The sequence below is a fragment of the Homo sapiens genome, chromosome 4, assembly GCF_000001405.40.
Source record: "Homo sapiens chromosome 4, GRCh38.p14 Primary Assembly".
In the NCBI taxonomy this organism is placed as follows: Eukaryota; Metazoa; Chordata; class Mammalia; order Primates; family Hominidae; genus Homo; species Homo sapiens.
The window spans coordinates 121,824,192-121,851,911 of NC_000004.12; the positions used below are offsets into that span (position 1 = coordinate 121,824,192).

Consider the following 27,720-nt stretch of genomic DNA (forward strand, 5'->3'; position numbering starts at 1 on the left):
AAACTTTGGCGACTATCATTTGGGTTGCCCAGCCTTTAGCTCTGGGACGTCTAGTTAGCTTAAGTGACTTTTTCCAAAGGTCTAAAATCTGGGGCACGTTTTTCAGTATCTCCGATTCTCCGTTTTCTTATGTGTTAATAGGGACTAATAACTACAGTCATATGGTTGTTAGGATTAAATAATGTGCATAAATTATTTAACACGGAGCTCACATAGTAATACAGTACTCAAGTGTCAAGACTGTAATGTCATCTTAACATTTAGGCGTTTATTCATAGTAACCAGAAATTGTGTTTTATGCTTTTTATTTTTCCTAATGAAGATGCAATTAATTTAAGATGGCACCTTGAACTACTGTTGATATATATAATAAATAGCAGTGCATTACAAAATATTCAAATACAGTCATTAATTTTTTTCTATTTTTCCCCAAGCTGTGGCAACCAACAAAAAACACAATGACGTTCTAGTGACCTAGATATAATTATGTTCCTTTCAGAAGTAAAGTTTTTTAAACATAGTAAAAACAATATGACCTTATTAAAATAAAACTCTCTTAACTATACGTGCCTTTAACAAATTTTTATATTTATATATAAATATAAGAATATACAAAGCTTGCACATAACTAATAAGTATAATAGCATATCATTAAGAAGCACTGTTTTCTAAAAAATTCGTGAGTCTGCCCTTCTTGAAACATAAAGCTTATTTTCCATTATCTGTATGCCATTTTAAAACCTTTCAATATTCCCTTGAAATTAATAAATATGAATTAAGATTAATGCACAAAACTTCTGTAGCCTTAATGTCATATATGATAAAAAGAGATCTAGAAGATACTAGTGTAGGAAAATCTAAGATGGCATCACTATTTCTGCACTCTTCACTTGAAGCACGCTGAATAGCTCCACTGGTTACAGCATGTCTAATTAAGATCCCCCGACTCTGTGTAAGCTCTTCTTATTTCCTGGCTACAATTTATAGCACTGAGCCAAGTCCAGCATTTCCACAAACTGCAGCAGAGTCATAAAACACTACCAAGCAAAAGGAATATCAGTTGCAAATCAATCCTATCTCCTAGAAAAAACAATTGGTAGGTTATTTCCACTAGCTGGCAACATACATAGTAACCAGGACACAAAGCAAGTACCAGTACTTGGGTTCTGGTCCCAGCTTTACAAAATATTAGCATGTCCTCTTAATCACAAAATTTCACTGAGAATCAGTTTTCTTATATGATTTGACAAATTTTACAACAGTTGTGAAGATCAAATAAGGTAATATATAAAAATACATTTTGAAGCCTATAAAGCGGTCTACATGTTTATGTGTTTATGTACCTTGTAATACATTTGAATATATTTTAATTTTCCACATATTACTTCTCAATTTAAAAATTAAAACAGCCACTTGCCAAAAATTCATTAAAATCCTATTTAAATCATTCTACTTGTGTTTTAAAAATAAAAAGACTCTTTTAGTTTTAGAAAGTTCAATTTGTCAAAAGAAATAGAAGCATTACTTTAAAAAGCCATTATATCTCAAATATTTTTAGATATAAAAAAGCATTTGAAATTAAAGTACATACACAGTTAACTTCTAATTCTCTTTTAACATTTTTCATTTAAACAGACCACTTCTTTGGGACTTTACCTTATTTGTATGTCATGCTGCATCGAAGAATGAAATCAATGCATTTTGGTCATAACTGTCCAGAATTTCCAATAGAAGGGGTACTTTAGTTTTTACATTGGTGCCTTTAAACTTAAATTTATCTATGAAAAGATCAGTGATCATGCCTTTAAAGAAAAAACATAAATTTCCTGTCAGTGATTAGTTATATTTAATGACACAGTATTTCACTAAAGTAATTGCTTGATAATCTATTTTTAAGCACCTGTAATTCCATGATTTAACATACACAAACCTAAAAGCCATGTTTTTAAAAATAGTCATTTTGGGGGGATTTTAAAACAAGTTTCAAGATATAAATCATCTGCCTAATAACCCTCTTAACAATTGATTACAAGCTATTAATTCAGACAATCAACTACTGGCCATTTTTGAACTGCTATCAGTATATATAACATCACAACAAGTGGTATATTTTTTCCACCAAGCTGACCATTTTGACATAGTCTAGGCAGATTCTATTTTTAACAGCTTATCTGAATTAAAATATTCCACCTATATGTTGACCATTCTTGGGATTTGACTTGAAGGCAAATAGTCCTAGGTTCAAAGATCTGGGCAAATCATTTCACCTTGAGTTTTCTCATATGTAAAACAGGAATAATTCAAGCTGTCAATCCTTTATCCAAAAAGCTTGATGCAAGATGTATTTCAGAATTTTTCCTATTTTAGGAAGATAATGAAAGGAATATACTATGGTATTAACCCCAAGGGGACTGAGTAGCAGCATCCAATAGCAAAACATAGTACTATTTCTGGCACAAAATATACGGATGAATATTTGCACTAAGTGGAATAAAAAAGATATAACCTTGGGCTGGGCACGGTGGCTCATGCCTGTAATCCCAGCACTTTGGGAGGCTGAGGTGGGCAGATCACGAAGTCAGGGGTTGGAGACCAGCCTGGCCAATATGGTGAAACCCTGTCTCTACTAAAAGTACAAAAAAATTAGCTGGGCATGGTGGCGCACACCTGTAATCGCAGCTACTCAGGAGGCTGAGGCAGGAGAATTGCTTGAACCCAGGGGGCAGAGGCTGCAGTAAGCCGAGATCGCGCCACTGACTCCAGCCTGGGAGACCAAGCGAGACTCTGTCTCAAAAAACAAACAAACAAACAAACAAAAAATATATATAAAACCTCATGTCAGTTTAAGTCAGATTTTGTTATTAAATTAATTCAGATTAAGTCAAGATTTTGCTGTCAAATTATTTATGAAAAAAACTTTGGTTTACAAAGCTGTCTGGATTTTGCAATCAGTGATATTATGTACAGCCAATCTCATAAGTTATTATAAGGATAAAAGAGATCATGTGCTTGTCATGTAATAAAGGTTAAGACATTAAATATAGCTACAGTTTGTGAGAAAGTCTCTGGATATGTAATAAAAAATTCAGTAGGCAGGCTTAAGGATCCATGTGTACTAGTGATACCAATTGGCTCTACAGTGACTATGGAAGGCTTGGCATAGTGTAAAAGGCATGCATTTTGGGGTGAGAAGATTCTAATGCAGGCATGATCACTAACTTGCTAGGTGACAACAAATTCCTTAGACTCAGATTTCAGTTAAAGCATATGAAAAATGAAGATAATACCACCTACCTTGCAGAGCTATTGTAAGGATTAAATATCTCACCTGATTATGAAGACAGTGTAAATAGTGTGCTATATACAACAGGTCTTATGTAAAGATTGCTAACAAAATTGTTTTTCTTAAGCTGTTTCTTCCTTCCTCACTCCTTCTTTCCCTCTCCTCACCTCCCTTACTCTGTTTCAATACAATTTGTGAAACATTCAGCTTCTCACCACCAAAGTTTTGAACTATAAATTGACACAACACAAATACTGTATATCCTTTATTAAATTTTGCCTTAAAAATTTTAAATGCTGCATTTTTATAATTCACAATAGCAACAAAACATGACAATTATTTGTGTGAAATACAGTCTAAGCTCTAAAGGTTCATAGATTACATTCATTTTATACCAGGTTTGTTCATATATATAGATTAATTCATCACAGTATACTTATTTCTTAATATACTTGCATTTTATCAAGTAAAAGAATTAAATATTAAAAGTAGCTTGACAAAATACAGAAATATTCTGTGCAATAAATTTGTTGTCAACTGATTCATGACTGGTTCATGAATCATGACTGATGTAATCTTTTTATCTTTCTGCCCAGCTTCTCTTACATGATCCTTGGGAAATAGCCAGTTGAAAAGAAATATGGCAAGGTATTCTAGAATGGTCCACTAACCATAGAGTCTTTCAAGATGTGCAGGTTGCTTTTTGTATTCTTCCTGTAGGTGATCTGCCTCTTCTAGAATACAGTGATATTCTGGTATCAGAAAGTTCGTATTTCCCTCATGAATCTGTAATTCCTATTTAAAATGAAAAACAGAAGCACCTTAATATTCAAAATTCAATCCAATGTAATGTTAAAGTATTGATAATTTTAGAAATCCTATGACTTCAAATAATAATCACCAGTCCACGACGACACATGTACTTACTTTTAAAGCATCAATTAACTGCACTTTCTTAGCCAAAAGCAACTGGTACTCCAGCTTTGGGTGGATTAGCTTTAAAGTGTGTTTGACTGATACTTCATTTATCTCTAGAAGGAGTTGACCAGATGCAGTTAGATAAATCACTTTGATCAGAAACATTAATAATGTAACAACAACACAAAATAAACATCAGAAAGAATTATTAATTTTGTTTGTTTACCGTATGATATGTTGAGGTTAATTTTCCTTTTTGTAGCTTCTTTAGAAAGCACATCTTTTAGGATGGAGATAGTAGAAATGTTGTCAGATTTAAAAACTCCCTCTCCTTTTCTATAAAATTAATATATTTTTTAAAAGAATAGCTGTAGAAGGAAATTGTCCAGTACATATATATTTTATGATTAGTACTTAGAGTATAGATTTCATTTGACTGTAGATTTCTTCTGTATACATATATCATTAATATAAAGCAAATTTAAACATGTAATCCTTTACTGTTATATTAATTCAGCTTCTGAATATACTCGTAAAACTAAACAAGATATATGCCTCCTAAAGATGTGACAATTTATATAAAAACTTCATTTAAACAACTTTTATCTTCATTTTTCACTAATATTTCCAACAGCTAGTCTCATATATAGACATATATAAAATGCACTTAGAATTGCTTACTTACATAAGTATGTTTTTCTTTCATGTAATCACACAAATTACAGTGTGACTATATGCTTTATCCTTAAAAGAAATCTGATATCAAATATGAAAGAGTGACATCTGCTGTTTTTCATGCTCAGCATCCAATGCCACTGCTTATGGTCAGAGGACCATTATTTTTCTTTTTTTTTTTTTTTTGAGACGGAGTCTCATTCTGTTGCCAGGCTGGAGTGCAGTGGCGTGATCTCCACTCACTACAACCTCCACTTTCTGGGTTCAAGCGATTCTCCTGCCTCAGCCTCCCAAGTAGCTGGGATTACAGGCACATGCCACTACACCCAGCTAATGTTTTCGTATTTTGAGTAGAGATGGGGGTCTCACCATGTTGGCCAGGATGGTCTCGATCTCCTGACCTTGTGATCCGCCCACCTTGGCCTCCCAAAGTGCTGGGATTACAGGCATGAGCTACTGAGATTACAGGCGTGAGCCACCACGCCCGGCCAGGATCGTTATTTTTCTTTAGGGTACCACTCCTCTTTCTCTTGCCCTCTTCAGTTTCAGTGGCAATGGTCTCAGTCTATTTCTGGGACTTCAGGAGGAAGCATTGAGCAGTACATTCCATACCCCTGACCACAGTGGTTCATGGCTTAACAATGATACTCAATCCTGGGACTTTTATTGGAGCCAGTGGGCAAGAGAAGCTCTATAGCAGCTGAAAATATGTAAGACTGGATTCTAGGAACTGCTGGTGGCCATAACACTGCATGGTAAAGCCAAGAAAAGATAAAAGCAGAACTGAACAAGGGATAAAATCTTGATGACATCAATTAAGCCACTGATCCAGTTGTGCGTGAGGCAGATTACTGCTAGACTTTTAAGTTATGTGAGCCGATAAATTTATTTTATTTGGTTAAGCTGCTTGCATTTGGTTCCTTTTTACGATGACCAAGTTTCCTAATTAATATATATCATCTTTCATATAGTTAATGTTACCTTTTCATTTGGTTTTCACACACACACAAATGATGTATACCAACTAGCTATATGCAAATGATAATTGCTTTGGTCCGTTGTGGTGGCTCACGCCTGTAATCCCAGCACTTTGGGAGGCCAAGGCGGGCAGATCACTTGAGGTCAGGAGTTCGAGACTAACCTGGCCAACATGGTGAGACCCGTCTCTACTGAAAATACAAAAATTAGCCAGGCGTGGTAGCACACTCCTAAAATTCCAGCTACTCAGGAGGCTAAGGCATTAGAATCACTTGGGCCTGGGAGGAGGAGGTTGCAGTGAGCTGAGATTGAGACACTGCACTCCAGCCTGGGCTGATGAGTGAGACCCTGTCTCAAAACAAATAAAAAAAAAGATAATTTTTTTTTCTAGAAAGATAAATAATACACCCTTACTACTTTGATCTCAATTATGTTTTAGAAATCATGACATTTCTATTAGTCTTTAATCTTAACAGATGATATTTAGTAAACACATAGTGCCAGGTACTATAGAATGACTCAAATGGTTATCTTCTTTTAATCATCATAACAATTCAATAAAGTAAGTGCTATTATTTTCATTCCTCAGAAAAGAAAACTGAAGTTCAGAGAGTTAAGCAACCAGCTAGGGTCACACAGCTGGTAAGTCACAGAGCCAGGATTGAAACATTAGTACATCTGCCTCCAAAGCACATACTTCTACACTACCTCCATACACATATATTTTATTCAGGCATCCGAAAAACATCTGTTGAGTACCTATTATGTGCAAAACTATGTTTTAGGTCCTTGCAGGCTACATACAAAGATATTTAAAATTAGACTGTCCATGAAAATAAAGTTTAACTTAGAGAAATAAGTTTGTATAAAAATTATTAGAGGCCGGGCTTGGTGGCTCATGCCTGTAATACCAGTACTTTGGGAGGCTGAGGCAGGCAGATCACGAGGTCAAGAGATCAAGACCATCCTGGCCAACACGGTGAAACTAGTCTCTACTAAAAATACAAAAATTAGCTGGGCGTGGTGGCACATGCCTGTAGTCCCAACTACTCGGGAGGTTGAGGCAGGAGAATCACTTGAACCCAGGAGGTGGCGGTTGCAGTGAGCCAAGATCGTGCCACTGCACTCCAGAATGGCAACAAAGCAAGACTCTGTCTCAAAAAAAGAATAAAATAAAAAATAAAAAATTATTATATACTTTAAGCAGATAACAATAAATATCACAGACAAGTAAGAAAAAATGCTATGGAAACAGAGAAGAGAATCAAGGGAGAATCAAAGAAGGCTTCAAAAATGTAGCTACTGCAGGATGCAGTAGCTTGCACCTATAATCCCAGCTACTGGGGAGGCTGAGGCAGGAGGATTGCTTGAAGCCAGGAGTTTGAGACCAGCTTGGGCAACACAGTGAGACTCTCTTAAAAAAAAAAAAGTAGCTATTAAGTTGGACCTTAAAGGATAAACAGTTTTGAATCTTAAGAAAAAATACTCAAAGACACAGAATGATAAAAGAGCAAAGGTCTGCTATTATAAAAGTATATAATATGCTAGGGGCATGTTGAATTGTCTGCTATGATTAATGTGTGAGGTTCATTGTGGTACTTCAAAATGGGAGTAATTATTACAGGTTTAGACACAGATAAGCTTCCTTGGACGGTACAGTGAAAAACCTCCACAGAATGGATGTTAAAAACCAATTAGATTTCTGAAGAGTTCTTGGTTCTAAAAGGCTGAATTCTGAGGTAAAATTATGTTTTTAGAATAATACTGTTATTATCCTAAAATAACAAGAGAAGCAAGAGGTATTCTACTTCTTGCTCTCTAGTTGAGACTTTACCATGCTAAGTTTTTAGAACTTAGGAGAAAACCACAATAATCTGCTTAGGGAAAGAACCTTAAGAGGCAGAGGCAGAGAAAGAATAATGAGCTCTCTCCCAGACAAATAACACAAAGCAAAAAAAACAAAAACACACACACACACACACACACACACACACACACAAAACAAACAACCTACAGGCCAGGTGTGGTGGCTCACGCCTATAATCCCAGCACTTTAGGAGGCCAACGCAGGAGGATTGCTTGAGCTCAGGAGTTTGAGACCAGCTTGACCAACATGGTGAAACCCTGTCTACAGAAAATAAAAAAATTAGCTGGGCATGGTGGTGCATGCCTGTGGTCCCAGCTACTCAGGAGGCTGAGGTGGGAGGTCAAGGCTGCAGTAAGCCGAGATCATGCCACTGCACTCTAACCTGGGTGACAGAGTGAGATCCTGTCTCAAAACAAACAAACAAAACAAACAGCAACAACAACAAAAAAACAAAAACAAAAAACAACCTACAGATGTGAGAATGAGAATGCAAAGACTTTGAAGAAGCAGGAGGATCCAAGCTTAATGGGTAGAGGTAGAGATATTGGCCTTGCCCAAGAAGTAGGCCATTTCACATTCAGAGACAGGTTAAAAAAAGGAAGGAAAAGTTTAGTTTCTACTATATTGAGAAGTTGAGAGGAATTATTGGAGCTTATAGAAGATGAGTTAGAAGTGATGGTGGAGGAGCGAGGGGTGCAACTAGAAGCTTGAGAAGCGTATAGAACAATATAATGACCTCCGCACCATATCAGGATAGCTACAAAAAGCCTGCATTTTCTAAGCCCTGAAGTTCTAAGCCATGTTATATTTGTGCATAAAGAAATTCAACTGGAGTTTTTATTGGAATTAGGATAAATATTCAAATCAATTTGGGTAGGACTGTCATCTTTTACAATGTCTTCATATTGATGACTATAGAATATATTACTCCATTTAATCAAGTCGTTTATGTCAATAAAATCTTACAGTTTTCTTCATGTAACTTCTACATATTTCTAATTAAGAATATTCCTACAGATTTTATCTGGCTATTTTGTTATTGTTATTGCTACTCTGAAGGGCTCTTTTTAAATAATTTATTTTCTCACTAGTTATTGTTATTGTTATTGTTGGGAACTTAGGAAATATATTGATCTTTGCATATACATCTTTACTCAATCACTTTTCTAAACTTACTAATTTGATTTTTCAATAGATTATCTTGAACAGTATAGATTTTCAATCAGATTACTCACAAATAACTCCTAACTTAAAGGAAAACTTAGAAGCTACATTTATATAAAACAACACTTGTGAACCAGTAATAAGTTAGATTTACCTGTAGGTACTTTCAAGTTGTGTATCTAGAAAGGTGTTCTGAAAGTAAAATGTCACACATTCTCCTGCTGGAGGTTTTTCTGGAACTTCAGGCAGACAAAAAACCACCCAGGAGTGAACTTCAGCAAAACTGAACTGGCCTGTTAGGGTCAGTGTATTCATGGGTCTGTAATATAATAGTAGAGGCGCACATTTATGTGTGGGAATACATGAAAGTATTATATGTACACGTTAATAAGCAGAATTTTGTAATAGTTGTTAAATATAAATGAAAACATTCAATTTTCTCAGATTAATCTTATACGTCAAATAAATGAACATTTCAATTTCATGAAAAAAAATCGAACACTTACCTATACCTGCACCTGTGCTAAGTATCAGTTAAGTGATATATGTAAACAGGTTTTATTCATTATAACATGCTTTTCAAATAAAATTTCATTTATTTGGGTATATTTCATTTTTAAAAAGTTTATTTTTTTATTTTTTTATTTTTATAGAGACAAGGTCTTACTATGTTGCCCAGGCTGGTCTCAAACTCCAGGGCTCAAGCAATTTTTCTTTCAGCTTCCCAAAGTGCTGGGATTACAGGTGTGAGCCACCACGTCCAGCCCTCATTTTAAAAAAGCTTATCTAGTATTTCTACTACATAAACTACAAAACATACTTATACAAGGATCTCATTAGGGAAATAATCAGTATAGTGTGAAGGCAAAGAATTGGGCTTTTGAGTAAGACAGGCATGGGTTGTTCCATTATTTACTAGCTCTGTGCCATTGGACAACTTATAGAATAATACCTTCTATCTTCCTGAAATATGGGATCATACTTTCTATCTTGCAAAAGCACACCCTAAAGTAACATTAAAAAAACTGTAAAATAAATCTAATTTAAAATAAATCAGATGGATAATTATAAAGAGTTAAGAAAATGCAGTTTATGAAATGAAAAGTTCGGACCAATCCTGTCATTTGCAGATGAAAAAACTAAAACCTAGAGGCTAAATTAAATTATCCCCCCAAAGTCAGACAGGAACAGATTGTAATCCAAGTCTCTTGATTCCCAATTTGCTGTTCTTTCTAGCATACCATGCTGCCTCCATTAGTACAACCTTGACTTTTAAGCAAGACAGAAAGAGTCTGTTCTCTTAAATGTTTCCAAAAAATCTTCTTTAGGAATAGTCTGTCTTACATCTTATTGAAATTATATATTTTAAATTATAGGCAGCAATATAAAGAATATGGGTTTTGGCTTCAATTCATAGCTTTAGTCCTTTTATCAGCAAGTTACTTAACTTTTCTAAGCCTCCATTTCTCATTTGTAAAATGGAGACATTATTACCTGTCTTGCTGTAAGAATTAAATACTACATAAGCTCCTAGCATAATACATGGCACAAAGAAAGTAATCAGTAATTGTTCATCTCTTTCCCTTCTCTTTAAGCTCATGTTCTGAAAAACTACAAAGAAGTGGATGCCTAAGTTGGCATGGAAATAAAAGGCACTATCACAACCAATTGCTTTATCTGATTTTTCTTTATCCTGAGAAGAAATATAAAGGAAATATAATATTTGAGGCTGATACAATGAGGTCCTATTCACAGAGAACTATTATACTATCTAAAGGTTAAACAGTATTTGCTCTCACATTAAGTATCTGAGAAAGAGAACTGCTATTCTAATAATCCCAGAATAGTAATATATGAGAAAGATGGGAAAGTCCAACTCAAACCAGCCTCTAAAATAAGACAAAGAATCTTATATTTATTGGAAATATTAAATCTATAATATTTAAACTGTTTATTTAATTTTTAAAAGTAGAAATTGCTAACAGAATTTACACTATAAAAATAAAAAACAGGTCTATTTGAATTGTGTAATATCCTAAAAAGAATTTGCTCTTTCCTTTGTCCTACCTGTCATGATCAATAAAGTGAGTTCTTTGATGGAGTGAAAGAGGTTTGATGTGGTACTGGCGGACCTGACAGGTTTTGGGTTGAATTCTTGGAGTCACATATGCTTGTAGTGTGCCATACTGGCCTTCAATTGAGCGAATCTGATTCAACACAAAAGAGGAAATAAAATAAGAATATTTAGCAACAAAACATATCTTTAGAATGTTCAACATAAGTTATCAAGTACTTAAAATTCACTAATATGTGAAGACCTAATTTAAGAGGAGTTGGAAAGCTGTCCAGCTTCTTTCTCCTGTCCCACTCTGTTCCAATTCATGGGACAGACTGTAGTACATCTTGTACTACACAAAGGTAACTTCTCTAATCTAATTAATACTTTAACTCATACTTTTCATGGCATGAGGGGGAAAATATCAACATTTGACCTAAGTGGGAAATATTTTAAAAGTTTAAGCAAGATTTTTTGCAAATGTTGCACTGTGAATATTGCTGACAAGGAAGAGGATAAGAAAAGATAATAAGTACAGAAAGAAAACAAAAAATAGATCTGATAAACTTATATTTTGGTGTTGATTTTTAAACAGTAATAAGCTCATATTGGCAGAGATTTTTTTCCATAAGAAAAAAAGCTTTAATATAGGACATAACAATTTTATATGAAAAATTATTTTGTAATAATCAGTATAACAATTAATATTCCTTATTCACAAATTCAAACAATAAAGAAAAATCTGGAGAAACATGTAAGTCACCTGCAATCCTCCCACCCCAGATGATCACTATTACTACTTTGGTAGTTATGCTTCCATACGTCTCTCTACGTACATGTACAAAAAAAGAGAGTATTTAGCATATAGCTGTTATTATAAAAATCTATTGACAGAAAAATTGTTTCAAATAACTTAATTGTTGACATTCTGTGAAAATAGAGATGCATACCTATAATCTATGGCATATTTGGACTGGAAATTCTTTTGGGCTATTTTGAATATGACTGGCCGGATATCCTGAGAATTCAACATACTTAACAGGAAATAGTAATTCACTAAGCTAGGAAGATCTAATTTAAGAGAAGGACCTAGTTTAATATATCATTTCACATGACTAAGTTCTACTGGATATCAGACATCTTTGCTTTCATTTCCAATATTCACATTTTCCCCCTTATCTCTGCCTCTCCTATTACCATCACCTCCCTGCTCCTCCCATCCCACTTATGCCTCCTCATATTGTATAACTGGCTATATCAGACAGGTGTGTTTCTTTTCATACATTTCTTCATATTTATATCATTATAGATAAAAATATATTCAAATTATACATAGAGGTTTTATCAGCATTTTGTGTGTTTTATGGAATTCCCTCCATGTTAACATGTATAAATCAACTCATTCTTTATAGTAGCTGTATAATATTCCAAGATATGGATAAATAGCTATTTATTCAACCCTTCAATCATTAATGAGTATTCACCTTAGTTCTACTTTTCTGCTTCTACAAGCAATGCTGCAATTAATTATATTCATGTCTGTTATGTATATTACTGCTATTTTATTGCCATTAATAGATTCCCCCAAAGGAGCTAATATCTATTTTCCTAAGTGGCTGTAACAACTTATATTTCCACCAGCTATGACTGACAGTGTCATTTTCTTCATCCTTGCCCCCTAGTGATGTTGTTCTTTAACATTTTTTGCCAATCTGTTGGATAAGAAGAAACTGCTTTTTGTTATTTGAATTTGAATTTCTCTGGCTAAAGATGAGGTAGAACTTTTTTGTTTGTTAGCTATTTTGATTCCCTCTTCTGTGTTTTGGGTTTTTTTTGTTTTTTTTTGAGATAGAGTCTCACTCCATTGCCCAAGCTGAAGTACAGTGGCACAATCTCAGCTCACTGCAACCTCCGTCTCCTGGGTTCAAGCGATTATCATGCCTCGGCCTCCCAAGTAGCTGGGATTACAGATGTGTGCCACCCTGCCCAGCTAATTTTTTTTATTGTTTCTTTTAGTAGAGATAGGGTTTCACCATGTTGGCCAGGCTGTTCTTGAACTCCTGACCTCAAGTGATCCGCCTGCCTTGGCCTCCCAAAGTGCTAAGATTGCAGGCGTGAGCCACTGTGCCCAATCTTCTCTTCTGTGACTTGCCTATCCATATCCTTTGCCTATTTTCCTTACTCGGTGGTTTTTATTGTAACAGTAGGCTGTTTATATGTTATTGACAATTACCTATTATCGGTTAGACAATGAAGTCTTCTTTCTTTAAATAAGTAGGTACTTAATTCATCTGAATTTATTTTTTATATATGGCTTAAGATAATAATTCATTTAATTTTCTTCTAGATGGATGCCAGTTGTGCCAACAGCAATTTTTAAATAGAAATAGTGATTTAATAGAAGTGTTCTCTTCTATTAAAATAGAAATGTCATGCACTAAATTCCCATAAATGTGAAATATATTCTGGGTTCTATTTCCAGATTATTCTGTTGCATGGCCTATTTATTTAGGCTTGGAAATATCCTCCATTATTTTTATTATGGTAGTTTTATGGTATGTTTTATCATATGGCAAAGCAAGTTCCACCTTACTTTTCTTCTTTTTCATAATTTTCTTGGCTCTTTTCAGGCATTTTGTCTTTCTTCTATACATTAAAATTAGTATATCCAATTAAAAAAAGAGGAAGACGGTTGGGCGTGGTGGCTCACACCTATAATCCCAGCACTTTGGGAGGCCAAGGCAGGTGGATCAACTGAGGTCAGGAGTTCGAGACCAACCTGTCCAACATGGTGAAACCCTGTCTCTACTAAAATACAAAAATTAGCCAGGCATGGTGGTACATGCCTGTAATCCCAGCTACTAGGGAGGCTGAGGCACGAAAATCACTTGTACCAGGGAGGTGGAGGTTGCAGTGAGTCAAGATTGTGCCACTGCATTCCAGTCTGGGCGACAGAGCAAGACTCCATCTAAAAAAAAAAAAAGAGAAACATTGCTTTTAATCAATTTTTACTTGACTTTTGAATTTATTAGCAGAAACTTGCTCAATGTAAAATGTTTAAATGTGTTTTTTCTTTTAGAAATAAATTTATCCTAGTTTTCCATTTTTCTTTCAAAGTACATAAAAGGGAATGTATGCAGACCAAAATGAATTGTTTAGGGGAAAAATCATATTTAACTGGAACTTCCTTAACCAGATGTGAAACAAATATTGTGTAACAGCATCTCTCTTGAAAAAAAAAAAAAAAACCTTTGAGTTTCAAAACATCAGCAACACCAGGAAAAAAGTTATAGTGCTTAATTTTTAGATAATAGGTCTATCAAAACTAATCCCACTATAAATAACTAAAACAGATTTGTGTGCTATGGTAAGTATTTAATTATGAAAATGACTATGTCATTAAATTGCTAGAGAAAACTTTAAAAGGTTTTCTCTAGAATGTATGGTAATAAATGATATCACTGGAATGCAATCAGCAAAATTCAGATGGTAGGAAAATATATGGTGAATGCCCAGATACTTTAATAACTAAGTTAATTTAGAAGATGACTGTCAGGACCAGCCTGGCCAACGTGGCAAAACCCCGTCCCTAAAAAAAAAAAAAGTACAAAAATTAGCCAGGTGTGGTGGTGGGCACCTGTAATCCCAGCTACTCAGGAGGCTGAGGCAGGAGAATCACTTGAACCTGGGAAGTGGAGGATGCGGTGAACCCAGATCATGCCACTGCACTCCAGCCTGGGTGACAAGAGCACAAGAGCGAGACTCCATCTCAAAAAAAAAAAAAAAGATGACTGGATTAAACAAGCTGTAAAACAAAAATCAGTAAAATCTGAACATTAAATATTTTATAATATTAAAAAATTATTGTTGATTTTTCTTAGGTGTGATAATAGTGTTGTAGTTATGTTTTAAAAAAAGAGAGTACCTATCTTAGACACATTAAATGAAATTATGAATATCTTGTATTTGCTTCAAAATATTTTAGGGTAGTAAATGAATAGCATAAATAAAGTGGCCATGAGTTGATCATTGCTGAAGCTGTGTGATTAATACATGGGGATTAATTACTTTTATAAATGTTTGAAACTTTCTATAATAGAAAATTTGAAAAAAATTTTTCAGTTAGAGGAAACTTTAAGACCAATAATTTTAGGCCGGGCATGGTGGCTCACCCCTGTAATCCCAGCACTTTGGGAGGCTGAGGCATGTGGATTGCTTCAGCTCAGGAGTTTGAGACCAACCTGGGCAACATGGCAAAATCCAGTTTCTATTTAAAAAATAAAATCAATAATTTTAGAGAAGGTGATTAAGAAGTAATAGCAGAGATTGTGGTGTGGGCTAAATTACATCCTAACTGGTCATTCAAAATTCATTACTCCAAACAATTCATTTCAGGGAGAAATTAAATGCAAACAAATAATATCATATGTTGTAAGACATACCAGCAGGAAAAAGGAAATTCAAACATTCAAGTAAAGGTAATTTCTAATATTTTTACCTTGAGTTCCAGCCTTGTAGTATCTGCCTGGCACCGATAAGTGGCAAGAAGGAAGTTGTCGTTTGACTGGGAAGAATACAAAGTGGAGGAAAAGAATGAATCCATGTTTTTAGCAACAAAAAAAAGACATCAATAATAATAATGGTTACCATTTGCTTAAGCACCTGTCATTGGTGCTCAGCGCTTTTCAAACATGTTCTAACTTACACTTACAAAAACTCTATGCACTAAGTTTTACTAATTAAATTTTAACAGATGAAGAAACTGAGGTTATGAGGAGTTAAATAAAAGCCATTAAGTGATGAAACTGGAATTCAAATTCCTATCGAAAGCTCATGCTCTTTCCATCTTGAGTTTTTACAATAACATTTTTAAACATTAAGAATTCTTCTAAAAATCTGACAATGCAAACACCAAATGTGATATGGTTTGGCTCTGTCCCCATTCAAATCTCATCTTGAATTGTACTGCCATAATTCCCATGTGTTGTGGGAGGGACTCAGTGGGAGATAATTGAATCATGGGGCCATTTTCTCCCATACTGCTCTCATGGTAGTGAATAAGATCTGATGGTTTTATAAGGGGAAACCCCTTTCTCTTGGCTCTCATTTTCTCTTGTCTGCCGCCATGTGAGATGTGCCTTTCACCTTCCGCCATGATTGTGAGGCCTCCCCAGCCAGGTGGAACTGTGAGTCCAATAAACCTCTTTCTTTTGTAAATTGTCCCATCTTGGATATGTCTTTATCAGCAGTGTGAAAATGGACTAATACAAAATGTTTATACTGTAAAGGCACATACACCAGAGTTTAATATTGAATCTCTTAGATTTTTCACAAATACTTATACAGGAAAGAGAAATATCTCTTCTCTGTATTCCCAGCAAATGGCACAGTGCCTGGCATACTGTAAGTGCTTAATACATGTTTGTTGAACTAACCTAGAGGAGTTTTTTCAAATATTATAACTTCTTGAAATTGAATATTAAACTACTAGAAATAGAGAAATGTAGCTAGGTTCATGGATTACAAAAAGAGACACAGCAACATAAGATAATTTATATGTAATTTTTGAGACTGCTATTTCTCTATTTTTATTAAATAATCAAAGAAATAAAAAGGATGGTAATATAAAATATAAAACTCAAACATTTCAATTTCAAATCATTTAAACTCAACAGAGAGGACTGATCAATTTAAAAGTAAATATATTCTTTTTTTTTTTTTTTGAGACAGAGTCTTGCTGTGTTGCCCAGGCTAGAGTGCAGTGGTGTGATCTCAGCTCAATGTAACCTCTGCCTCCTGGGCTCAACTGACTCTCATACCTCAGCCTCCCAAATAGCTGGGACTACAGGTGCATGCCACCACACCCAGCTACTTGTTATGTATTTTTAGTAAAGAGGGTGTTTTACCATGTTGGCCAGGCTGGTCTTGAATTCCTGGCCTCAAGTGATCCACCTGCCTTGGGCTCCCAAAGTGCTGGGATTACACGTATGAGCCACGGTGCCAAGCCGTAAATGTGTTCTTGTATGATTAAAAGCAAACGTTATATACTACAGTGTTTATCAATAAATGATACAGATAACATGTTTGGGATGAGGTTTGGGAGTGGGAAGGAGAGGGTGAAGAGCATGAAAAAATGACTGGGCTGGGCATGGTGGCTCACACCTGTAATCCCAGCACTTTGGGAGGCTGGAAGGTGGAAGGACAGCTTGAAGCTAGGAGTTCAAGACCAGCCTGGGCAACAAAGTGAGGCCCCATTTCTACAAAAAATAAAAAATAAAAAAAATTAGCTGGGCATCATGGCATATGCCTATGGTCCTACGTACTCAGGAGACTGAGACAAGAAGATAAGCTTAAGCCCAGAAGTTTCAGGCTGCAATAAGCTATGATCACGCCACTGCACTCCAGCCTGGGTGACACAGTAAGACCCCCATCTTTTAAAAAAAAAAAAGACTAACCATATGTTGAAAATTAGTGATGGGTACATGCAAGTTATTATACTAGTCTTTCTACTTTTGTGTATACTTGAAACCTCCATACGTTTTTTTAAAGCCATTGTCCTAGAAAATATATTTTAAATTAGTATCAAATAGTCATTTCAAAGAATCCTTCAGTGATGTAATTAAAACAGATTAATCTTTCATAGTAACTTAAGAATCAAAGATTTTAAGTTTGTTTTAAGTTTACTGATTTTCTAAATAATCATAAAAATGTAGGCCATATCTTTTGTGTTTTGTTCTCAAACAGGAACGACAAACCACATATTGATAATATAATACAACTGTTATAAAATCGCTTATTAAAAATAAAATTTTTACTATGAAGTTATATTGAAAAACAGGCTGGGCACAGTGGCTCACACCTGTAATCCCAGCACTTTGGGAGGCCAAGGCCAGTGGATCACCTGAGGTCAGGAGTTCAAGACTAGCCTGACCAACATGGCAAAAACCCATCTCTACTAAAAATACAAAAATTAGCCGGGTGTGGTGGCGTGTGCGTGTAGTCCCAGCTACTTGGGAGTCTTGAGACAGGAGAATTGCTTGAACCTGGGAGGCGGAGGTTGCAGTGAGCTGAGATTGTGCCACTGCACTCCAGCCTGGGTGAGGAGTGAGACTCCATCTCAAAAAAAAAAAAAAAAAAAGAAAAAGAAAATTATTCTTTTATCTATCAATATTTTACTTTATCTACTCTTTTATTCCTCCTTTTTAAAAATATATATATAAGGCCAGACGTGGTGGCTCATGCTTATAATCCCAGCACTTTGGGAGGCTGAGGTGGGAGGATCACTTAGGCCCAGGAGTTTGAGACCAGCCTGGGCAACATAGGAAGACCCTGTCTCTACAAAAAATTTAAAAATCAGCCAGGCATGGTGGCTTGTGCCTGTAGTCCCAGCTACTTGGAAGGCTGAGGTGGGAGGATCTGCTTGAGCCAAGGAGGTCGAGGCTGCAGCGAGCCATGATCACGCCACTGCACTCCAGCCTGGGCAACAGAGCGAGACCATGTCTTAAAAAAGTAAATAAATAACAAAAACCAAATAAATAAAATATATTCTGCAACAGTGCCAATGCATATAAATAAAATAAAATATATATTAATATAACTAACCACCAACTCCAGTTACCATCTCCTCCTGCTCTGGCTTGCCTTCTACAATGCAATTAATCCAAACCTTATCTATACCTTGACTTCTCTTCAGGAGTCACACCTAGCTCTGAGACTGCTTATCGGCTAGTACTAAGCAGAAAGAAGTGATACAGTAAGCATGTCCAAAAGCACTGACGTGATCATCTCAGGTACTGTGCACGTTAAGTGCTCAATAAAAGTCTGTTGAATGAAGTTTAGTATGCATTCAACAAGCCTAGAAAAAGTGGGGCAGGGCAGGAAGAGCGGGGGAAGCAACAGATCATGTTCCAATGCAGGGATGTGTGAAACTATATAGCATTTTCAGGAATTTTAAGAACTTCAGTTTGGCAGAAATAATGTGCATGGGAGGGGTGGTAGCAGCCGGTGAGAGAGAAGTTAGAGATGTAATCAAGAGCTGAATCATGGAAAGTTTTCTATGCCACAATAAGGAATCTATATTTATATCTAGCAGGAAATCAGGAATATTGAAAAGGTTTTGAGAAAAGAAAGATACAGTGATGTTCGTGTTTTAGGAAGGAAGACGTCTCTGGTGGTAGTGTACATACAGCATATCCTAGAAGTCAGAGGCAAGACTAGAGGCAGAGAAACTTATAAAGTAGTTCAAGCAAGACATGATAAGGGCCTGGACTAAGTTAACAGGGGTAGGAATGAAGCCAAGTGGAAGTATGAAAGCCATGGAGGTAGAACTGACAGAAACTAGTGACTAATTGGATATATAGGCTGAACATTCCCAAACTGAGTATCTAAAATGTTCCAAAACTCTAAACTTTTTGAGTGCCAAGATAATACTTTAAGGAAACGCTCATTGGAGCATTTCAGATTTCAGATTTTCAAATTTGGGGTGCTGAACCAGTAAATACAAAACAAATATTCCAAAACCTGAAAAAAATCCAAAATCCAAAATACTTCTTGGTCCCAAGCATTTCACATAAGGGATATCAACCTGTAACAGATCACAGAAAAGAAGGAATCTAGGACATCAGGTTTCTCGACTGAGGACAGGGAAAGAGAACCGACACAGATTTTGAAGGAAAGGTTACATAAGAAATAATTGAAAAAGAAACATCAAAACCTAGCAGCATCTATAGACTTTAATCAAAATGGCATAATAGAAATGAAAGCATGTGAAGAATTCTTTTATATTTTTACTCACCTCAGAATCACAGCTGCTAAAGCTAACAACAGCAGAATTTTTATCCACATCAAGTAAATCTATTGGAACATCACTCTATAGTCAATATTAAAAAAAAAGAAGGTTGAGATGGAAAACCTAAAAATGTTCATAAATTATGTTTTCTCTAAGAGTTCTCCTTAGTTCTAGTTTATATTCATCTTTAAATTTGAGAGTATGAATTCTCTTAACTTATACTTGATAGTATATACTTCCAGAAAATAAATATAATAAAGAATAAATGTTATTTTACAATCACCTGCTTTTTTCTAACTTGGATTATAAAAATCACAGAATAACATCTCTCACCACCCCCTTAAAAGTCCAATCATCCCACTTATTTTTATAAAGTGCTAAAAATGTTACCATGAGCTATAAATAATCACATGGCCATTCTGATTGTATCAGTTCATTTTTATCAGTTTTAATTTTACCTGTAACACAGAAAGAAGATAATTTTTGGTCTCCTCTGGAGAGGCAGTTTGTAGGACAAAGCTGTTGCACTGTCCTATGTGAATGGCATTCCTAGAGTTGTTCAATGCAACAGCCCGTGAGCTAGCATTACTTAAGAGAGTTTTCTGCCTTTAGGTTTTTTTTTTAATAATCTGATCTCTCCATTACATCTTTTTAAACCTTTTCTTCCTCCAATTTGTTATGTTCTCATTTTGTGATTGGTTTACTACCTTTTGTTTGTTTTCTATTCATCCTATTATTCTTTTCTACTTCCTGAATACCTTCTAATTTAAATAAGTCAGTAAATATATACATTGATGAATGGAGTCATATATTATTATCCCTAAATTTCACCCTTTAGTATTCTCTACTTTGCCTGTTGACCTACCAGAAACTGTTGGGTTAATGAGCAAGCTGTACTTTAATGTTTGGGGCTTTAAAAAAAAATGTTCTAGCAAGGGCATTAAATATGGTAGTTTTCTAAGTCACATCTCTGTTAAGATTCTCCCAGAGGGTAGCCAAAGAAGAAAAACCTTACTGTCTTTTCTAACTCTTCTTAAAACTGAAGCCCATCTTTTGTTTGTTAAGTACATAAATAAAAAGTAAAAATATAATTCAAATAATCTGTGAGCAAACCAATTATCTAAAGGAAGAATAAAAGGCCATAAACATTTAAAATTACTGTCTATGACTGGGTGGGGTGGTTCACGCTTGCAATCCCAGCACTTTGTGAGGCCGAGGCGGGTGGATCACCAGAGGTCAGGAGTTCAAGACCAGCCTGGCCAACATGGTGAAACCCCGTCTCTACTAAAAATACAAAATTAGCCAGGTGTGGTGGCACATACCTGTAGTCCCAGCTACTCGGGAGGCTGAGGCAGGAGAATCACTTGAACCTGGGAGTCGGAGGTTACAGTGAGCTGAGATCGCACCACTGCACTCCAGTCTAGGTGACAGAGTAAAACTCTGTCTCAAAAAAATAAAAATAAAAATAAAAATAAAATAAAATTACTGTCTAAAACTAAAAATGTTCAATAATAATTAGTACATATGACTGGTTTGCAAAATAGATCCAGTCATAAAACTAAGAAATTAGACATTTTGCTTACCTGTATTAAGACATTATCTATTGCAGTCTGTACCTCTAAGATAAGGCTGTAACTGGCATCATCTTTATTTAGTGTAAATTTATCATTTATACCAAAGGAAGGTACTGCTGATTTTGCTTTGCTTGATTGAGAAGACTGTTGATAATTCTCTCTTTCCTGCAATACCTTATACTGCAAATGTTCCAACTCATTCCTGGAGAAAAACACATACAAATTTGTCAAATATAAGTATAAACATTTGAGGTCGTTAGGATGTTTACAAAAATTTGAGACATTTGCTTTTACAAAATGGGTTTTTATTGGTTGAGTTAATAAAATAAAAACAAAGGGAGCAAAATTTTTGCTTCTATGACTGACTAAATGATTCCACATTATTTATCCTTAACCCCAAAATTAAAATATCTACTCATTCCCATACTAGCAATATTAATAGAGAGTTTTAAATATCATGGTAGGCTACAAAATAATCTTAACACAGGAATCTTGTTACAGTTACATAAAGTACTAATCAGAAGAGAAACTTCTTATACTAATGAGAAGAGAAACTAATATTGCAGAACATATTAGTCTTAATGAAAAGAGACAAAATGTGTGAAGCCAGTAAACACGTAACTTTCAGTAAGACATTAGGGGAGACATAAAAAATAAAAAGGAAGCTGCAGAGCATTAGCATTTTGGGGACCACAAGGATGATCATGAGCCAGTGGTATGGCTTAACTACCAAGAGTTAGAGAGGATTCTGCTGAGACTGAACTACAGCATTGCTTAGAGCTCCAGTTAAGGGGAAGGGCCACATGCAAATGGAGTAAACAGTCATTGGGATAGAACAACATGAGGCTTAACTAGCCACAGTTTAGGAGGAAAAGTCTAGGGAGGAGCTTAGAAGGGATCTGTGTAATGAACAAAGGAAAAGATTCATTCATCAAAGAAATATTTACTGCTAAATATTACATATTTACTCCTATGTACCTAGCAGTGTTTGGGTATCAAATGAACAAATCAGATATAAGTTTCTCATAAAGCTTACATTCCAGTGGAATCAAGAAATGGTAGACTTGGTTATAAAAAAAAGGTAATGTATTGAGGATGTGAGAGAGTAGTCATTAACTATACTTGTATCCTTGTTGCATGAAGTAGGATATCCTGAATGAATCTGGTATACTTGTTTGCATGAACATTACAGTTTGCTCTCTGGTGGCTTTGGTGAAACGGCTTGTGCTACTAGTACTTGTGGCATTTGCTGCCTTAAAAGTTTCTGTAGCCTTCAACTACCACCAGAAAAAAATCATCCTTCACTCCACAAAAGGTCAGCATGGGTTGAAATGGGGAGAGCAGTCATTAAAAGTTTCAGCAACTCCCACGTCTTCGTTGTATGAAGCACCTTTATTGGAGTTTGAGGTCCCCCTTTTCACAGCACACGTCAAATTGAGCAGACCATAAAAGCAATTCCTGTGTCTAGGGGAGTCAAAATTACTCAGTTCCGGTTAAGAAAATTTACAAGCCAACATTACAGATTCAGAAGGGTCCACAGGAACAGCAAACGTTAGAGTTAATGAGAAATAATACAGCCATCTGTGTTGATTTCTAATGTCTGTGAAAAATAAAAAATAAAACACAAGTGTCTATGACACACACACACAAAAAAGAAAAACACAACCCTTGACCTAAGAAAATGTCAATATAGAATAAGGCACACAAAAAAGTATATTTCTATCTCCAAAATATTAATCAGCACTTACGCTAATTTTCTCGAAACTGTAAACTTCCATTTTAAAAGGTGATAAACTAATTAATTACATAATTCCTTCCAATAAAATATACTGCATCTATAAGTAATAAAAAGCAACAACCACACACTTCATGAGATTTTTAAAAAAGCAAATAAAAAACTCAAAGTTACCGTAAGGAAGAAATTTTATTCTGCATCTCCTGATTAATTTTTAGTTCTTCTCCTGGTCCACTTTCCTTATGAATGGGCTCTGTTGTCAGACCTGTAACCCAGCCTGTAGAGATGAATTACAATCACGCACCACTTAGTACTGCTAGTGTTAAAAAGATAAATTATGCATTGTATAGCAGAAACTCCAATGTACATGCCCCTTTGTCCACCAATATCAGCCTAACTTAACCCTAGGACTTCATTCAAAAACAAAACATAAAATCAAGCTGGAAAATATTCAGACTACAGAGAAATTACTTAAGCATTTCACGATATCATTTTTTTTTTGCCTGAAATACTGTAATACTATAATGAAGGGAATCTTTTACTTAACAGATTTAAAGTATGGAATAAGTCAACATAGTCTAGCAATTTCAAAAATAGCTGAAAAATAAGAATTGCCTTTTAAAAATTACTTTCATGGAAATTTAAACTCTCACATGACTACTATGAGAATGCAAAAATTACCAACTCAAAAGCAAGTTTTGGCAAGTTTTTGAGACCCTGTCTCAAAAAAAAAGTTTTTATAAGACATGTACATAGTCCAAAACATAAAATAAATCTCAATAAGTACTTCTCTTTAAATCAAAGAATATAATTTAATACTTAAAGGTAAGAGTGACATGCTAAACACTCTTAAAAAGTATTATTCAAATATCAACTATTTTATAAATCAAGAAGCCTACATTTTCTCCTTATTTTTTAACCATAAAGTTTTTAATGCTGTAAGTAAGAGTGATTGACTAATACAGCAGCCTCCCCTTATCCACGATTCCACTTTCTACATTTTAGTAACCCATAGTCAATGGTAGGCTGAACATATTAAATGGAAAATTCCAGAAATAAGTCCTAAGTTTTAAATTGTACAACATTCTGAATAGGGTGATAAAATCTCATGCCATCCTGCTCCATTCTGCCCATGATGTGAATCATCCCTTTGTCCAACATATCACCTGCTGTATATGATACCTGCTACCAGCCTATCTACTGTTCACTTAGAAGCCAAATCAGTTATCAGATCAACTGTTGTAGTATCACAGTGCTTATGTTCAAGTAACCTCACTTTATTTAATAAGGACCCGAAAGCACAAGAGTAGTGATGTAAGCATATTGTTATAATTGCTCTATTTTATTATTCGTTATTGTTAATCTTTTACTATGCCTAATTTATAAGTTAAATTTTATCATAGGCATGTAGGTATAGGAAAAAATATAATATATATAGAGTTCAGCACTATTTGAGGTTTGAGGCTTCCACTGGGGGTCTTGGAATGGATTCCCCATGAATAAGGGGGGACTACTATAACTGTTTTTTAAAAAGAGTCATCAAAAGCAGTTTATTAAATTTAATTTTTTTTGTTGTTGACTCTTTCTTCAATTACCTATTATCATTTACTTTACCTGAATATGTGGACACCACGATTTCATCATAGCTGTCTTTTCCTACACAACCACCCTGGATAGATGTGACGCTTTCAGACAACATCTAAAAAAGTTTAAGACCAAGCACTTCATTAGTAACTAAAAAATCCACAGATATATTAAAATAAGCCACACAACGTTTTCCCTGGCTCCAGACATTCAACATATATTTACTGAATGTTTATGTGCAGACACTCAGATTAGAAAGACAAAATATCTTGAACAAATGGCAGGAAACTTCAGTGTTTTTAAATTTGGGAAAGAAGATTCAAAACGACCCTAGTATATTTGTGGGTACCACTCAGCTAACGATATACTCACCTAATGAGCAAAAATAGTTTATTTATTTATTTAGAGACAAAGTCTCCCTCCGTCACCCAGGCTGGAGAGCAGTGGTGCAATCACAGCTCACTGCAGCCTTGACCTCCTGGGCTCAAACGATCCTCCCTCCTTAGGCCCCAGAGTAGCTGGGACCAGAGGTGCGCGCCACAACGCTGGGCTAATTTTTGTATTTTTTTGTAGACATGGGGTGTTGCCATGTTTTCCAGGCTGGTCTTCAAATCGTGGGCTCAAGCAATCTGCCACCTTGGCCTCCCAAACTGCTAGGATTATAGGCGTGAACCACAGCGCCCCGCCAGTTTATTTTTATAAAGAAAGGTTTTTTAAAAACTTACATAAGCAAGGCTGGGCGCGGTGGCTCACACCTGTAATCCCAGCACTTTGGGAAGCCGAGGTGGGCGGATCACGAGGTGAAGAGATTGAGACCGTCCTGTCCAACATGGTGAAACCCCATCTCTACTAAAAATACAAAAAAAATTAGCCGGGCGTGGTGGCGCGTGCCTGTACTCCCAGCTACTCGGGAGACTGAGGCAAGAGAATCACTTCGACCCGGAAGGCGGAGGTTGCAGTGAGCTGAGATCGTCCCACTGTACTCCAGTCTGGCGACAGAGCGAGACTGTCTAAAAAATAAAAATAAAAAAAAATTACATAAAGCAAAAAGCAAAATACCCCGTTAAGTTTAGTCTATTATCTGAATTCCATACACCATCTCTTATGTGTATTCTCAAAATAGTTTTTTAGATAAAGAAAGAATATGGTAACCTATATGGAATCTTTAGGAAATCTGCTATTGTGGAGAGAAACCAAGTTTTTTCAGATGACTCAGGGTTTATAATAACCATCTTTTAAGCAGTACTTTCCAAACTTGTCTGACAACCACTTAGGTAACTCAACTAGGAATCTGTATTTTTTTTTATTTATTTATTTCTTTTAAAATAATTGTAGGGAGCTGGTTTTTTGTTTTTGTTTGGTTTTTTTTTTAGACAGGACATTGATCTGTTGCCCAGGCTGGAATGCAGTGCATGATCATGGCTCACTGCAGCCTGGACCTCACAGGTTCAAGTGACCCTCCCACCTTGGCCTTCCAAGTAGCTGGGACTACAGGTGTACACCACCATGCCTAGCTAATTTTTTAAATTTTTTGCAGAGATGGGGTCTCCCTCTGTTGCCCAGGCTGGTGTTGAACTCCTGGGCTCAAGCAAACCTCCTGCCTTGGCCTCCCAAAGTGCTGGGATTACAGGTGTGAGCCACTGTGCCAGGCCAGAAACTGTGTTTTTAACTAACACTCTAGGTAAGCGGCTTTCAAGCTATTTGGAAAGCAAGCAATATAAATTTTATATTACAATCTGGTATACATTCACACATAAACATATACAGCAATGTATCTAACTTAAAAGATTTGTGTCATACTCTGATATGTTCTAATCTATTCTATTTTGTTTTTTAAAAACGGCACTGGCAACACACTAATTGGTTTTGACTAGCAGTTTGAAAAACTCTGGTAGGTAGTTCTTAGCAGGCAAGGCTGAGAACTTTTGTTTTAAAGGAGGGAGTGGAAGGAAGGGACACTAGCATTAAACCGGACAATCAACAAAATTCTAGTACTCTTCACCTACCCTATGGGGGCAAACCTCTGAGCTATCCTGCAAATTAGGCTATGATAGTTGTTCCTGAGGCTAATTACCTGAAAATTCAAGTAACAAAGGTTTGATTATAATAAATCACATAAAGTTAGATTTACAGGTGGGGTCAAATATCCGCATTTTTAACAAGTGTCCAGTTGTTGTGTATAATAAAGTCTTCAAAAAATTGTTTATTATTGATCTGAGAGATTGATTAGATCTTCCTTTAATTTACTGAACACAAAACACTGGAAATCACCTGACTTGCAGAAGAATGTTTTACTTATCCAATAGAAACACGCACATTCTCACTTTCTGAGTGGTTTATCAGGGAACTATTAATTACAACTTTAAAGAGTATATTTAATGCAATATACTTGGAAAACATTACAAAAATTTTTTACAAACTGTTCATTTCCTAACTGTTCATTTCTATACCCTTTTTTGCTAATAGAACATTTTAATGAAATTCATTTATCTTATGTACTTATATAAAAAAATCGGGGCTACTCTGCACACTGCCTATGGGGTAGCCCTGTTCTGCAAGGAGCAGGAAAAAAAAAAAAAAGAAAGGAAAAAAGGAAGGAAGGAGGGAAGGAGGGAAGGAGGGAAGGGAGGGAGGGAGGGGAAAAGAAAGGGAAGAAAGGGAGAAAGGAAGAAAGAAAGAAAGAAATGATCCTATAACCATGAAATTAGAGATCCTGGGCAATATAGTATGGATAAGTTTTATGTAAGAAAACATGGAACTAAACTTACAAAAAAAAGAACTTGGTCCTTCCTCAAAATATTGGCAAATGAATATACAAGTTTAAGTTAAAATGCAATGTTTAAAGTATACATATTTTCTCTTTTTATGATTCACCCCTTAACTACCTTTTTTGATTAATCAACCATCTACCAGTCCAGACTGTGTCAGACAGTACGTCTTCTCCTGATTAGAAAAGCAACATAGAAAGTGACGATGTGAATCCAAGATGAGGCAGAGTATTCCCAACCTAAGCATAACCTGAAAGCAGGACCTCTGTCATTAGACAGAAGAAATAGGAAGAGGATAGGATTTCTTAGTGCCAGACCTGGCAGAACAGG

General features: G+C 35.5%; 1 protein-coding gene across 9 annotated transcripts in view; it reads right to left on the reverse strand.

The window, feature by feature from the left end:
- BBS7 (Bardet-Biedl syndrome 7) overlaps positions 138 to 27,720 on the reverse strand; it is a 46,146-nt gene continuing 18,563 nt past the window's right edge. For 4 of the 9 annotated variants that reach the window (NM_176824.3, XM_005263106.5, XM_011532080.4 and 1 more), the window contains exons 9-19: positions 24,653 to 24,737; positions 23,213 to 23,315; positions 21,313 to 21,505; positions 19,736 to 19,810; positions 15,440 to 15,505; positions 10,953 to 11,092; positions 9,040 to 9,204; positions 4,428 to 4,537; positions 4,211 to 4,314; positions 3,955 to 4,078; positions 138 to 1,802 (exon numbers count right to left, since the gene is read on the reverse strand). In NM_176824.3, the coding sequence (NP_789794.1) occupies positions 1,669 to 1,802; positions 3,955 to 4,078; positions 4,211 to 4,314; positions 4,428 to 4,537; positions 9,040 to 9,204; positions 10,953 to 11,092; positions 15,440 to 15,505; positions 19,736 to 19,810; positions 21,313 to 21,505; positions 23,213 to 23,315; positions 24,653 to 24,737 (1,299 nt within the window). In that variant the 3' untranslated portion in view covers positions 138 to 1,668. Of the gene's footprint in view, positions 1,803 to 3,535; positions 4,079 to 4,210; positions 4,315 to 4,427; positions 4,538 to 9,039; positions 9,205 to 10,952; positions 11,093 to 15,439; positions 15,506 to 19,735; positions 19,811 to 21,312; positions 21,506 to 23,212; positions 23,316 to 24,652; positions 24,738 to 27,720 lie in introns of those variants that run through there. The other 5 variants (XM_017008357.3, XM_047415890.1, XM_047415889.1 and 2 more) reach the window with 2 other exon arrangements.